Below are 15,085 nucleotides of genomic sequence, written 5' to 3' on the forward strand. Positions count from 1 at the left end.
TTCTCCTGCCTCAGTCTCCTGACTAGCTGGGATTATAGGCACCTGCCACCACGCCCAGCTAATTTTTATATTTTTAGTAGAGACAGAGTTTCACCATGTTGACCAGGCTGGTGTCGAACTCTTGACCTCAGGTGATCTGCCCGCCTCAGTCTCCCAAAGTGCTGGGATTACTGGCATGAGCCACCGTGCTTGGCCTAATGTTTCAATCTTAAACATGATCCAACCAGACATTTGGGGAAAGCCTTGCGTGTGACAGGGAGGGACCTAACACACTAAAAAGGGAACTCTCAGTAGAGAAAGACAATGCAGGGAGTGATAAAACCCTTCAACAAAAGCTTATCCTCAGAGATGATAGTATATACATGCAACAAGAACAGAATGCTGTAAAAAGGAACTTTTAAGAGCAAATGAGTGTCAATTAACTCGTGCTTCAGAGAAAAAGAATAAAGAATGGAGTTAAGAGGACATTCTGAAAGAAATGATATAAATTTCTCAGACCTCTATAATATGTGCTTCCAGACTGAAGGCCAAGTGCCCAGCAAAACTAAAGAAAAAATGCCCACATCAAGGCATACATCAAAACATCTCAGAATACAAGGAATAAATAACTGAGTTTAAAAGTTTCCAGAGATAAAACCAAACCAAAACCCAAAACCACAGCACTTAAAAAAGGTTAGTCATCAGCCAGGCACAGTGGCTCATGCCTGTAATCCAGCACTTTGGGAGGCCGAGGCGGGCGGATCACGAGGTCAGGAGATCGAGACCATCCTGGGTAACAAGGTGAAACCCTGTCTCTACTAAAAATACAAAAAATTAGCTGGGCGTGGTGGCGGACGCCTGCAGTCCTAGCCACTAGGGAGGCTGAGGCAGGAGAATGGCGTGAACCCGAGAGGCAGAGTTTGCACTGAGCCAAGACCATGCCACTGCACTCCAGCCTGGGCGACAGAGCGAGACTCCATCTAAAAAAACATCAGATGGCACTAAGAAACTCCGGAGCCATGCTAGATGCCTTGCTACCACAGGCACTGCCTCCGCCATTCTGAGCGCAACTGATCTGTAACTAAGAATTCTACACACATCTACACACAACCACACTACTCATCATGTGAGAGGGCAGAATAAAGAGTTTCAGACATTTGAGGCCTCAAAAAATTTCTCTCCCCTGTGGCAATTTAGGAAGCTTTTGGAGGATGCGTCCCACCAAAACAAGGGGGTAATCTGAGAGACAAGGACAGCAAGCAAGGAATCCAACATGGGAGGCAGATGAAGGAAACCCCCACAAAATCACCAAGGGAGATCCAGGACAGCCCCTTCGAGCAGGTGCAGTGGCAGCCAGTGCAAAGGGGAACAGGGCTGAGGCTTGGGAGAGGTTCCTGAGAAGATGAAACTGATGAAATACCCAAGACATCTACATGTGCTGAGAGAAAATTCAGATGCCTGATGGAAGAGTTAGGGTTGAATTACCACCAAGAACACAGAAACTACCCCCCAAAACAAACAAAAACCTCACACAAATAGAGTATAAGTGTTTGTTAACTCCAGGGAACAAAAGGTGAAAGGGGAAGGTCTGCTGTGCAAAGCATTTACACGCTCACGATGACGCAACGAGCCAAACACCATCACATCCACCAGCCTGGGAGGAGGGCGAGGAAGGCCGAGGGTGAGGGCTGGGTTGGTAAGAAGCTAAATCAGCATCTTATGCCCCAAACTGAGAAAGGATCAATGAAGAAAGAGCTAAGCATATTATTTCAATATGGAAATAGAGACCAAAATAATCAGCTAAATGAACTGAAGGAGTTTGCTTCTAGGGAGAGAGAAATAAAGGGAGAGGTGGAGGTATCTGTTTTTCATAAATATTTATAGAAATATTTGATCCTTGATTTAAAAAAACAAACCAAGCTACCTGTTTAGGAAGTTGCTACGCAGTTATATGCAAGGTGATCCTGTCTTTGAAGGATGTAAGTTCAAAAGGACATAAGTACAGATATGCTGGTGTTAACATCAGTCAACAGAGAGGTGCCATGCAGAGTGAGGCAGGACATGCACCAGCGTGCTCTCACTGGCCATCTCCAGGTGCTAACAGAGGGCTGGGTTACTTGCATTTCATTTTTTGAATTATATAAAGTATATACTTCGGTGGGATATCATGGGCAAAACTTTATCTTTCAAATACTTAAAATTTATGTTTTGTATTAAACCATTTTAATAGGCAAAATTAAAAGTGTGTCTATCTCTGTGCATGGTACTGTAGATGGAACAAAGGATGGTGCAGTCCACACAGAACAGTTAACTTAGGGCTCCTCCCTTCCTGGGATGTGGGCAGGGGTGGGGCAGGGGGGCAGGGGGCAAGAGGGAGTTTCCCCCTTTGCTTTATACACCTGTGCAATGTTTGGAACTTCCCCACAGTGAGCATGCATCACTCTCCCACATGGACACAGATGTGGGGAGAGCCTGGCAAGGCCATGGATGTGGGAAGCAGCAGGGAACAAGGTGACAGGGAGGAGAGGACACAGCAAGATGCCAGGTGGGTGGGGATGGTGAGCAGGAGGCAGGGATGGCAACAGGGCCATTTTCTGAAGGCTTCTTAGGTTTCTATACCTCGTGCTGGGCAAACCAAACACTCCTTTGGGCCCCATCTGACTCAGGCTGCAGGCACCGGCTATTCCATAAAAAAGGCCTGCCGACGCTGCAGCTCTCACAAAGCCCCCAGTGACAGGAGGCCATTGTTTCCCACTTACCTTGGGGCCCAAGGGGGAACAAGTCAGACAAACCATTTCCCCTTATAAAATGAATAAGGCCTAATGTAGTAAGACTAATAATCTGGGAAATTATTCTAAAGCATAAATAAAATGTATTTAAGAGATATCAAGAGTACCTTAAATTATATGAAGGTCTGTGGAAACTTCAGGAACAGAAATAGAATGGTACATCAGGAGATCTTTAATTCAGAAGCCTAGTGTTACTATTTTTAAAGCAAAGTCACCAATATATTATTTTAACTGACCATCTGATGGCAGCAAAGGTTCTATTTTAAAAAACAGTACACTAGATGGCAGATGGGAGGCTGTCAGCTAGCCCTGGGAGGACAAGAGCTATCCCTGACGCTGCCCTTGGGCCACAGACCTGAGGCTTGAGACGAGACAACCCTGCCCTCTGTGGGTCGGTGGGCTCTACCCCCAAGGGAGGCCTTCAATGGCTGTGATGGAACCAATCTTTCCTGGCAAAAGAGATCTGAAAAAATTATTACCACTCCACCATCTAAAACCCATCTGCTTATTTCTGTAGTAACAGGCTCTGCTGTTCTTGTCTCTCACTAGCTTCTTCCCCACAGATTTCAGTTCAGCAAAAAGATGACCTCTTGCTGTTGGAACATAAAATCTAATGGCAATCTGTTGATAAAATTAGTATAGTAATAATCCAGGGAATGCTAAGAATATCTATTTCCGATAAAATTATATTATCTCTGCCTCTAGTCTCACTCAGTATTTTAATTGTTTTTTAGAAAAAATTCGGGCCAGGAGGCCCTAGGTGGCTCTGCCACAGACTGTCACCCTGTGACCTTGGAGATCCCTAAGCAGGATGCCATAGAATCCTGGAAGCCAGGAAATGGAAACAAATGGGAAGACCAGAACAGTGAAAGTCATTTCAATAATTCTGGAAAAAATTTATGAAGTCCTATGGGAGAAAGACTCTGTGAATGTAAAGAAGGTAGTCATTGTGGAGAAATATTCGGCCAGATTCCAAATCTGAACCTGAAGAAGAAAATTTCTGCTGATGTAAATTCATGTGAATGCAGAGTGTGTGGACAAGTCTTCACATGTCCTTCATCCCTTAATAGGCACATCTTATCTCATTCTGGACACAAACTACATGCATGGGAGAAACGTGGGGTGAAGCCATACAAATGTAAACAATGTGAGAAAACCTTCATTTCTCTCACAAATGTCCAAAGACACATGGTAACACACACTGGTAACAGGCCTCATAAATGTAAGAAATGTGGGAAGACATTTAAGTTTCTCTATTTACTTCAAAGACACAAAGTAATTTACAACGGAGAAAAACCCTGTGAATGGAAGAAAGGTGGTAAAGCCTTGAGATTTTGCAGTTATTTTCAAAAACATAAAAGAACTCACAGTGGGGAAAAACCTTATAAATGTCAGAAATGTGAGAAAGCCTTTGGACATTCTGGTTACCTTCATAACCATAAAGGTGCTCATGCTGAAGAGAAACCCCGTGAATGTAGGAAATGTGGGAAACGATTCAGTTTTTGTAGTTACTTTCAAAGACATAAAGAGCTCACAATGTGAAAAATCTTCCATGTGTTTAAGAAATATGGTAAAAGACTCACTCTTTCCAGTTCCATTCAGAAACATAAAAGAAATAATACTGGAGAGAAACCCTATAAATGTAAGAAATGTAGCAAAGCCTTCAGTCATCCCCGCTCCATGTGAAGACATCAAAGAACACATATTGGAGAGAAATCCTATAACTGTAAAAAATGTGGCAAAGCCTTCAGTCAACACAGTTCCCTTAGAAGACATGAAAGAACTCATACTGGAGAGAAACCCAATGAATGTCAAAAATGGGATAAAGGCTTCAGTCGGTTCAGTTACCTCCAAACACATGAGAGAACTCATACTGGAGAGAAACCTTATGAATATAAAAAATGTGGCTGGGCGCAGTGGCTCACACCTGTAATCCCAGCACTTTGGGAGGCTGAGGCAGGCAGATCATGAGGTCAGCAGTTCGAGACCAGCCTGGCCAACATGGTGAAATCCTGTCTCTACTAAAAAAAAAAAAAAAAAAAAAAATAGCCAAATTTGGTGGCAGGTGCCTGTAATCCCAGCTACTTGGGAGGCTGAGACAGGAGAACTGCTTGAACCTGGGAGGTGGAGGTTGCAGTGAGCCAAGATCACACCACTGCACTCCAGCCTGGGCAACAGAGCAAGACTCTGTTTCAAAAAAAAAAAAAAAATGTGGTAACACCTTCAGGCATTCCAGCTCCCTTTGAACACATGAAAAATCTCATACCAGAGAGAAACCCTTTGACTGTAAGGAATGTGGTCAAGTCTTTAGACATTTCAGTTCTCTAAGTAAACATGAAAGAACTCACACTGGAGAGGCACCCTTTGACTGTAAGGAATGTGGTCAAGTCTTTAGACATTCCAGTTCTCTATGTAAACATGAAAGAACTCACACTGGAGAGGAACCCTTTGACTGTAAGGAATGTGGTCAAGTCTTCAGACATTCCAGTTCTCTACGTAAACATGAAAGAACTCACACTGGAGAGAAACCCTTTGACCGTAAGGGATGTGGTCAAGTCTTCAGACATTCCAATTCTCTATGTAAACATGAAAAATCTCACACTGGAGAGAAACCCTTTGACTGTAAGGAATGTGGTCAAGTCTTCAGACATTCCAGTTCTCTATGTAAACACGGAAGAACTCACACTGGAGAGAAACCCTTTGACTGTAAGGGATGTGGTCAAGTCTTCAGACATTCCAGTTCTCTATGTAAACATGAAAAATTTCACACTGGAGAGAAACCCTTTGACTGTAAGGAATGTGGTCAAGTCTCCAGACATTCCAGTTCTCTAGGTAAACATGAAAAATCTCATACTGGAGAGAAACCCTTTGACTATAAGGAATGTGGTCAAGTCTTCAGACTTGCAATGTGGTGAAGTCTTCAGATATTCCAGTTCTCTATGTAAACATGAAAGAACTCAAACTGGAGAGAAACCCTATGACTGTAAGGCATGTGGCAAAGCCTTTAGATATTCCAGTCCTGTATGTAAACATGAAAAAACTCATACTCTGTAGAAATCCTGAGAATGTAAGGATTTGGGGAAAACATTCAGTTAATTCAGTTATCTTTGAAAACATGAAAGAAATTATACTGGAGGAAAACCGTATAATTTACATAACATGCATATGAGGAATGTGATGATGCCTTTATATGTTCCAGTTACCTCTGAGCACATTAAAAAGCACATGGAACTCTTCCATTTCCCTTTGAAAATACGAAACAAAACTACTACTGAGGAAAAATTCTATGCATGTAAACAATGTGGTAGTGTCTTCAGTCTTTCCAGTTCTACTTGAAGACATAAAAGAACTCATTTCTAAAAAACCCTATAAATGTAAAGAACGTGGGGATGCCTTTGTTTCTCTCCGGCACATTGAAAGACATGATGTATGCAAACTGGAGATGGATCTTTAAATACAAGAAGGTATTCTGTATCTAAACCCTAGTAGTTTGCAAATAAATTTTCATTTTAATAATTATTTCAAAAGTCATCTGAGAACTCCCACTGAGAACAAATCTTATAAATTTAAGGAATTTGGAAAGCCTGATGCAAATTAAATATTCCACAATGCTCAAAACATGCACATGAATGAAATGTTATACAAGTTATAAATATATTGTGTTTGTCAGTGGCTCATTTCTAATGACCATCTCTGGACTGTTGATTTCCACCTTATTTAACACGAAAATATTGAGGTGAGAATTCTGTAGATACCCTTTAAGCAACATGAATCCAATAGGTAGTGTGGGTTTTTTTGTCAGTTAATACAAAATTTTGTCTGTATGTCTAAATGTTTTTGGATCTACAGGTGAATTAAAATGTATTTCTAATAAGTAGGTAACACTGATTTTTATGTAGCTTTTTAATTGTTCTGTAATATGTCATTGAAAACAGATTTTGTTAACTGTTGGGGTTTTCTTACTGGCCTTATTTGACAAGTTTTAATTGTTCTTCACCTATTACATCAATTCCATCTTTCTTTTTTATGAAAAATGTACTGTTTTTTGGCAGGAAGAAGTTTATTTCATTTTCTTTGCTACTGAAGTATTGGTATCAAATTGTGAAAAAAAAAAATCTATCATGATAGTCTGCTTACACAGCCGTACAAGTAATAATAACAAAAAATTGTAAAATCAGCTTAGAGAGAATTATATTAATTATATTATCGCTCCCTAGCTTATTAAATGTTTTTCCTGACAGTACAGTCACACTGTTATTCAAATCCCGGCCTCTGCTGAGCCCACAGGCCTGCTCTGAACCCTTGCGGTGCAGGGTCTGGCCACTCCCACCAGTGATGCAGGGAAGCTGGCACGGCAGAATTTTAGGATAAGAGAAATGGATATGTGGGTCATTATTTAAGAAAGAGAGTTCTCAAGCAGCTGTCTCACTGACTACTTGGCCTTTAAGTTCCTTGCTCATTAAAAATGGGATTTCACATATGGCAAATATATTAAAAACAGGTGAATGTAGATAAATGGTAGTTGGAAGTTCTCTGTCCTATTCTTGAAATTTTTCTCTAAGTTTTAAGTTACTTTAAAATGAAAAGTTTAAAACAATGTATTCTTGCGCAGTATCTGACTGAGAGCGCAGTACCTGGCTGTGTCCACAGCAGCTGGTCTAGCCTGGCAGGCCAGGCGGCTCCACAGATGCCTCCTAGAATGACTCTCTTAAAACACCATATGATTCCATCATCTATTTGGATTTTCAAGCCTAACAATTTTTTTTAAATGTTATTTTGTATGTAAAGGATTATGACAACCAAATGATTGTTTTTAAAAATAAAATTAATACATCACCACTTACTCTATGAATTATACCAGCTGAATGCAGATGTTTAATACCACAAAGCATCTGGTAAAGAAGGTAGGACATTCTTTCATGATCCAGCTCCATGTGAATAACCTGACATAAGTTAGCATCCATTAATTCCATAACCAAATACCTGAGGGAGAAAAGGTCAGTTATTTATTTGAAAATTATCCAAAGTTCCTTTATGACTAAATTTCATGAAACTGTAACTTACTTCCAATCACTGCACTGGCTAAAGTAAAAAGATAACTTGGTATAATGGAACTTTCTAAAAATTTTCCAAAGAATATATAAATAACAAACTTAACGTCTTACAAGTTAAAAATTAAAAAAAAAAACAACAACCTTTTATAGCATGGTAAATAGAATCTCAAACACAAATTTTCCTACTTCTTACATTTTTGGCTGAAATTCTCCGTACCAGCCTAAAGACCATGCTGTTACAGGCTCATCAATCACAACACATGTACCCTCTGGTGGGAGATGCTGAGAACGGGGGAGGCTCTGCACGTAAGGGGCTGGAGACAGACAGGAACTCAGTACCTCCCGCTCAATTTTGCTGTGGCTCTAAATTGCTCTACAATATATACGTTTTTAAAAGTGATTATACAACAACAACAAAAAGGACACTTGACCCCACTCCCCGCTTAGCAACGCCCCGATTCTTTGCTCCCTTTGCAAGCAAAACTCCCCAAAGAGGTGTCTCATGTGCTATCTCCAATTCTTCTCCCTTCTTTTTATTTTTTAAATTTTTTTGAGACAGGGTCTCACTCTGTCACCCAGACTGGAGTGCAGTGGCGTGATCTCGCCTCACTGCAACCTCCACCTCCCGGGTTCAAGCCATTCTCATGCCTCGGACTCCCAGAACTGAAAATTAAATTAAAAAAAAAAAACAGCCATCATGCCTGGATAGTTTTTGTATTTTTAGTAGAGACGGGGTTTTGCCATGTTGCCCAGGCTGGTCTCGAACTCCTGACCTCAAGTGATCCGCCCACCTCGGGCCTTCCAAAGTGTTGGGATTACAGGCATGAGCCACTGCACTCAGCCTTCTCCCATTTTTTTCTTAATCCCACTTGGATCAGGTTTGTGCAGCCACCATTCTGCTGAAACTGTCCTCCTCGAGGCCACTGATGTCTTCCATGCTGCTAAATCCACTGGCCAGTCCTATAATCCCAGCGGGCCCTGCCCTGTCCTGTCTCTAACTTCTCGCTGTCAAAATACCCAGCAACTGGTCCTTGACCCTCTTCTCTTCTGTAACCACACTCACTTTCTTAGTGATCTCAGTTACAGGCCATCAGCTCCCAAATTCCTACGTTCAATTCAGACATATCTCCTGAACTCCAGGCTCATTCCTCTGCCTCCCTATTCCCAGTTCCACCTTGATGTCTAACAGGCATCTTAAAGCCATCTCCAGAACTGAACTCCTGATTCCATCCCTAGCCCAGTCTGCTCTTCTCACAGCCTTCATCATCTCAGTTGAGAGCTCCCTCATCCTTCAGGTGCTCAGGCCAAAAATCTAGGTGTCATTCTCAATTCCTCTCTCTCATACCACACATCTCATCTATCAGCTAATACCATGGCTCTATCTTTAGAACCATTTCAGCATCCAGTCTCTTCCCCTCTCACCCTTCCTATTACCCCTCTGGGCCAAATGGACCCTCCGTCATCCCTTAACAGAACTGCTGCAACAGCAGTAACTGATGTTCCATGCCCCCACCCCTTATAGTGGGTTACCAACCCAGATGCCAGAGTTACGCTTTTCAAACAGAAGGCAGGTGAGCTCACTGCTCTGCTAAGACTCTTACTCTGACTTGCCTTAGAGCAAAAGACATCCTTACAACGGCCTAGAGGCTTGTGGTGTTCACCCTCTTCTCTTCCCCTGCTCCCTCATCTCTAGCCACGCCACCTCTTGATGGTCTTGGAAAACACCAGGCGGGCATCCACTGCTGTCCTGAGCGCTGTCTGTTCCTTCTATCTCCATTCTACTTGCCCCCAAAGTATCTGCGGCACCAAATTCTTTTTTTTTTTTTTTTTGAGACAGAGTCTTGCTCTGTCGCCCTGGCTGGAGTGCAGTGGTGCGATCTTGGCTCACTGCAAGCTCCACCTCCCGGGTTCACACCATTCTCCTGCCTCAGCCTCCTGAGTAGCTGGGACTACAGGCCCCCGCCACCACGCCCGGCTGATTTTTTGTATTTTTAGTAGAGACGGGGTTTCACCGTGTTAGCCAGGATGGTCTCGATCTCCTGACCTCGTGATCCGCCCGCCTCGGCCTCCCAAAGTGCTGGGATTATAGGCGTGAGCCACCGCACCCGGCCAGACCAACTTCTTTATCCCCTTCAAGGCTTTCTTCGAATGTCACCAACTCATGGAGGTCTTTCCCCAGCCACCTTATTTAAAACTGCAGCCTCAAGTCCAACCCTCAGCACTTTTGATCCCCTGACCCAGCTCCACCCTTTGTCCACAGCACCTAGCACATTCTAATGGACTACATGCTTTCCTCATTTATCATGTGGCTTGTCTATCTTCCCTGACAGGCTCCAGGGAAGCCAGGTAGGCCAAGTCCCAGAGAGTGCCCAGCACACAGAGGGCAATCAGATATTTGTTAATGACTGAACACACCAATAAATTCAGGATGAAGTTGGGCATTATGCCTCTCAATAGATTAATACTTCATTTCACTGTTAGTAAGATGATTCTACTTAAGATTCTGGAAATACAGAATCTTAAATAGAATTAGTGACTTAATCATTTTAAGTAATACTCATAAACTCCTGAACCCTAAAATCCTGGCTATCAGGGATTTGAGAAAAACATTTTATAGTTCAGCAAAACACATTAGTGATCCTGGTCTGCTCTGAAGAATTCTTTCCAGTCATCCTTTATCTGTTATGAAGATGAAAACCCATGTGGTACAAATAATTAAATATAACTATCAAATTTTCTAAATATTTCTCTGCAACAGAGAAAGTTATCTGTGATGTCACAAAATGTATTGCCACCTACATTTCCTAAGTATAAAAAGCAGTTGCTGTCTTTTCTAGATGTTCATTCTTTGATGTACAGTGCATTACTGAATAAAAATGATACTTACACATCTTGAAATTCTTCTAGAGTTTTTTGTGGTGTAAACACATTTAACAAACTAATTATCTGAAAAGAGAAAATTAATTATACTTCAATATGTCAGATTACTTGATTACAAAAATTAAGTTTAATATTGAAATGCATTAAGACGGGAAAAAAATCACAGCAGAATTCAGTACTTCTTATTATTACTGCTTTTACCAATTACATGGCATTTGAGAAAAGTTAAACATCAATTAAAGGAAAGATGCACTTTTAATCAAATCACTTTTATGTGTCCCTAGTAACTTAATTATTACAGAATTTAAACACATAATGTCTTTTTGAACATAAAAAAGTAGAATTTACAGGTAAAAAGACATTAAAGCAGTATGTTAACTCTGAAAACTTAAATACTACGCACAAATTTCTAAAAAGGTTTGAAATATGAAGGCTAAGCTCTTGTTTTTGGTGTGATAAAGTGAAAGGCCTCGTAGCATCATATTTTTACCTAAAGAGGGTTAAAGAGCTGATCCTGCGGCAGGCCTCCATCCTGGCACCCTGACATGATTTGGCTGTGTCCCCACCCAAATCTCATCTTGAATTGTAATCCCCATAATCCCCACGTGTCTAGGGAGAGACCTGGTGGGAGGTGACTGGATCATGGGGGCGGTTTCCCCCGTGCTGTTCTTGTGACAGTGAGTGAGTTCTCAGGAGACCTGATGGTTTTCTAAGGAGCACTGCCCACTTTGCTCTTTACTTTTCTCTCTCCTGCCGCCTTGTGAAGAAGGTGCCTGCCTCCCTTTCGTCTTCCGCCATGATTGCAAGTTTCCTGAGGTCTCCCACATCATGCGCAACTATGAGTTATTTAAACCGCTTTCCTTTATAAGTTACACTGTCTTGGGTATCTCTTTATGGCAGTGCGGGAACGAACCAGTACACAGCCCATGGTGTAAACAGCGAGTCCCACGGCTTAGGCACCAAACACATAACCTCAGTCATTCCAGATGACTGAGGGAAAGATGAATTATCCATTATACAGGATTGGGGTGATTGGTTAGCTAAGGACAAAAATAAAACTGCATCCATATTTCAATCTTTATACCAAGAAAAACTCTAAATGGAACAAAGACTTAAATCTAAAACATGAAATAAAACCTCAGAATATAGATAAACATTTATATAATCCTAGCGTAGAAAATCTTTTCTAAACATGACAGGAAACCTAAGAGATCTGATTACATTAAAATGAAACAAAAAATGGGTGATAAAAAATCAGTATGTCAACAACATAAATAATGTCAAATGGAAAAAAAAAAGTAAAGGGCAATAGTTTTAATATTTAAAAAAAAAACCCTCCTACAAATGCAGAAGAGACCAGCAGTCCAAAAGAAAAATGGATAAAGGCCATAAAAATTAAATTACCAAAACACATAAAAATAAGTAACAACCTCACCAATAAAAATAAAATATCATTTATTTATCAAATTGGCAAAAGCAAAACAAAAAAAATCAACAGTATGTAGTGCTGGGGGATTCTGAAGTAACAGACGTTCTCAGACACTTTTTTTTTTTTTTTGAGATGGAGTTTCATTCTTGTCCCCCAGGCTGGAGTGCAATGGCGCAATCTTGGCTTACTGCAACCTATGCTTCCTGGGTTCAAGTGATTCTCCTGCCTCAGCCTCCCAATGAGCTGGGATTACAGGCGCCCACCACTACGCCCAGCTAATTTTTGTATTTTTAGTAGAGACGGGGTTTCACCACGCTGGCCAACCAACGTGGTCTTAAACTCATGACTCAGGTGATCCACCTGCCTTGGCCTCCCAAAGTGTTGGGATTACAGGTGTGAGCCACAGCGCCCGGCTGATACTTTTTTTTTTTTAGGAGATGGGGTCTTGTTTTGTTGCCCAGGTGTGCCTTAAACTCCTGGCTTCAAGCGACCCTCCTGCCTCAGCCCAAGTAGCTGGGATTACAGGTGAAGTGACCGTGCCCAGCTTCTCAAATACTCTTAATGAAAATATCAAACTAATAGTCTTCCTTGAGGTCAATTTGTCAGTATATTTTAAACTAGAAGTGTGTGTACTCTGACCTGACAATGTTGGCCAAGAAATTCACCTGGACGAGTATGCAAAAATTCAGGCGTTAGAATGTTCATTGCAGCACTGCTTATAACAGTGAGAAACAAAACAATCTATCCAACAACAGGCGGCTGGCAGTCTCTTAAATAAATTACTGTGCATCTGTGCTATGCAACCATTTAAAAACTGGCTCATATCTATGTTCATTAAAGTATATGAGGTCTACCAACATTGCACGAGGAGAAAAGCAGGATGAAGAATAACACGATTAATCTTGTTTATGTACTTGTGCACATGTATGCATAAGAATGCTCACCAAACTGTTAATGCTAGTAATCTGTGGGTGGCGGTATTCAGGAGTTTTTACTTTTTTATATTGTTTGAATTTTTAAAAATAATATATATTTTTTGTAACCTGAAAAAATTTTTTAAATAAGTAAGTAAAACAAGTCCGGGTGCGGTGGCTCACGCCTGTAATCCCAGCACTTTGGGACGCCGAGGCAGGCAGATCACGAGGTCAGGAGATCGAGACCATCCTGGCTAACATGGTGAAACCCCTGTCTCTACTAAAAATACAAAAAATTAGCTGGGTGTGGTGGCGGGCACCTGTAGTCCCGGCTACTCGGGAGGCTGAGGCAGGAGAATGGCGTGAACCTGGGAGGCGGAGCTTGCAGTGAGCTGAGATCGCGCCACTGCCCTCCAGGTTGGGCGACAGAGCGAGACTCCGTCTCAAAAAAAAAAAAAAAAAAAAGAAAAAGTAAAATAAAGCATGCATTAGAGAAATTTAAACCAACTCAAGCCACAGACTCAAAAGAAGGAAGCTCAGGAGTTTAAGATCAGCCTAGACAAGGTGGTAAGACCCCACCTCTACAAACAATTTTAAAAACTGCCAAGCATGGTGGCGCACGCCTATGGTCCCAGCTACTTGGAGGGCTGAGGTGGGAGAATCACAACCTGGGTGACAGAATGAGACCCTGTCTCAAAAAAACAAAACAAAAAAAACCAGATTTCACGTTTTATATTTTATTTATTTATTTATTTATTTATTTTGAGACGGAGTCTCGCTCTGTCGCCCAGGCTGGAGTGCAGTGGTGCTATCTCAGCTCACTGCAAGCTCTGCCTCCCGGGTTCATGCCATTCTCCCACCTCACCCTCCTTAATTTTTTGTACTTTTTAGTAGAGATGGGGTTTCACCATGTTAGCCAGGATGGTCTCTATCTCCTGACGTCATGATCCACCCGCCTCGGCCTCCTAAAGTGCTGGGATTACAGGCGTGAGCCACTGCACCCGGCCAACATTTTGTAATTTTATAACATGGCAACGTTATCAACATAATGCTCAGCGACCACTAGGAGAACAAACAATGTGCTTGATTGAACCCAACTTCATTTTCTAGAAACATTATTTCTCCGTAAAATTTAGTGCTTTGATTTCTGTGGAGCTTCCAAGAATAGCTACTCTAAATGTAACATCATCTAATAACGTGTATTTGAAACTGGTGTGTCATATACAAGGTAAAAACCTACTTATAGAACAACATCTTTCCACAAAATATTTAGTTGTTTCTCAATTTGTTAGATCAATACTGTTCCTATTTTATAGAAACAGAGTATCAATTGATATTCCTACTTTGGTTAAGTGACCTAAATTCCTATGCACCATAATGATGCCTCTTTCTAGCTTTGATTTCCTCAATGTTTATTAAGAATTTTATCAGCCGGGCGCCATGGCTCACGCCTGTAATCCCAGCACTTTGGGAGGCTGAGGCTGGCGGACCATGAGGTCAGGAGATCGAGACCATCCCGGCTAACGCGGTGAAACCCTGTCTCTCCTAAAAATACAAAAAATTAGCCGGGCGTGGTGGCGGGCGCCTGTAGTCCCAGCTACTCAGGAGGCTGAGGCAGGAAAATGGCATGAACCCGGGAGGTGGAGCTTGCAGCGAGCCAAGATCCCACCACTGCACTCCAGCCTGGGCGACAGAGCGAGACTCCGTCTCCAAAAAAAAAGAATGTTATCAATAAAAAATAGGCCGGGCATGGTGGCTCACGCCTGTAATCCCAGCACTTTGGAAGGCCAAGGCAGGTGGATCATGGGGCCAGGAGATCAAGACCATCCTGACTAACATGGTGAAACCCCATCTCTACTAAAAATACAAAAAATTAGCCGGGCGTGGTGGCAGGCGCCTGTAGTCCCAGCTACTTGGGAGGCTGAGGTAAGAGAATGGCATGAACCCGGGAGGTGGAGCTTGCAGAGAGCCGAGACTGCGCCACTGCATTCCAGCCTGGGCGACAAAAAAACAAAAAAACAAAAAACAAAAAACCAATGT

The 15,085-nt window shown here is 41.9% G+C and overlaps 1 protein-coding gene and 1 pseudogene across 15 annotated transcripts in view; one reads left to right on the forward strand and one right to left on the reverse strand.

Moving 5' to 3' along the window:
• The window catches only part of MAPK9 (mitogen-activated protein kinase 9), a 58,941-nt gene that overhangs the window by 20,929 nt on the left and 22,927 nt on the right, over positions 1–15,085 (reverse strand). For all 15 annotated transcript variants that reach the window (NM_002752.5, NM_139070.3, NM_001364613.2 and 12 more), the window contains 2 exons: positions 10,710–10,768; positions 7,613–7,751 (listed from right to left, as the gene is read on the reverse strand). In NM_002752.5, the coding sequence (NP_002743.3) occupies positions 7,613–7,751; positions 10,710–10,768 (198 nt within the window). The remainder of the gene's footprint in view (positions 1–7,612; positions 7,752–10,709; positions 10,769–15,085) is intronic.
• On the forward strand, positions 3,609–4,640 carry LOC100419721 (zinc finger protein 670 pseudogene; annotated as a pseudogene).

This window comes from Homo sapiens, chromosome 5, assembly GCF_000001405.40.
Source record: "Homo sapiens chromosome 5, GRCh38.p14 Primary Assembly".
Lineage (NCBI taxonomy): Eukaryota > Metazoa > Chordata > Mammalia > Primates > Hominidae > Homo > Homo sapiens.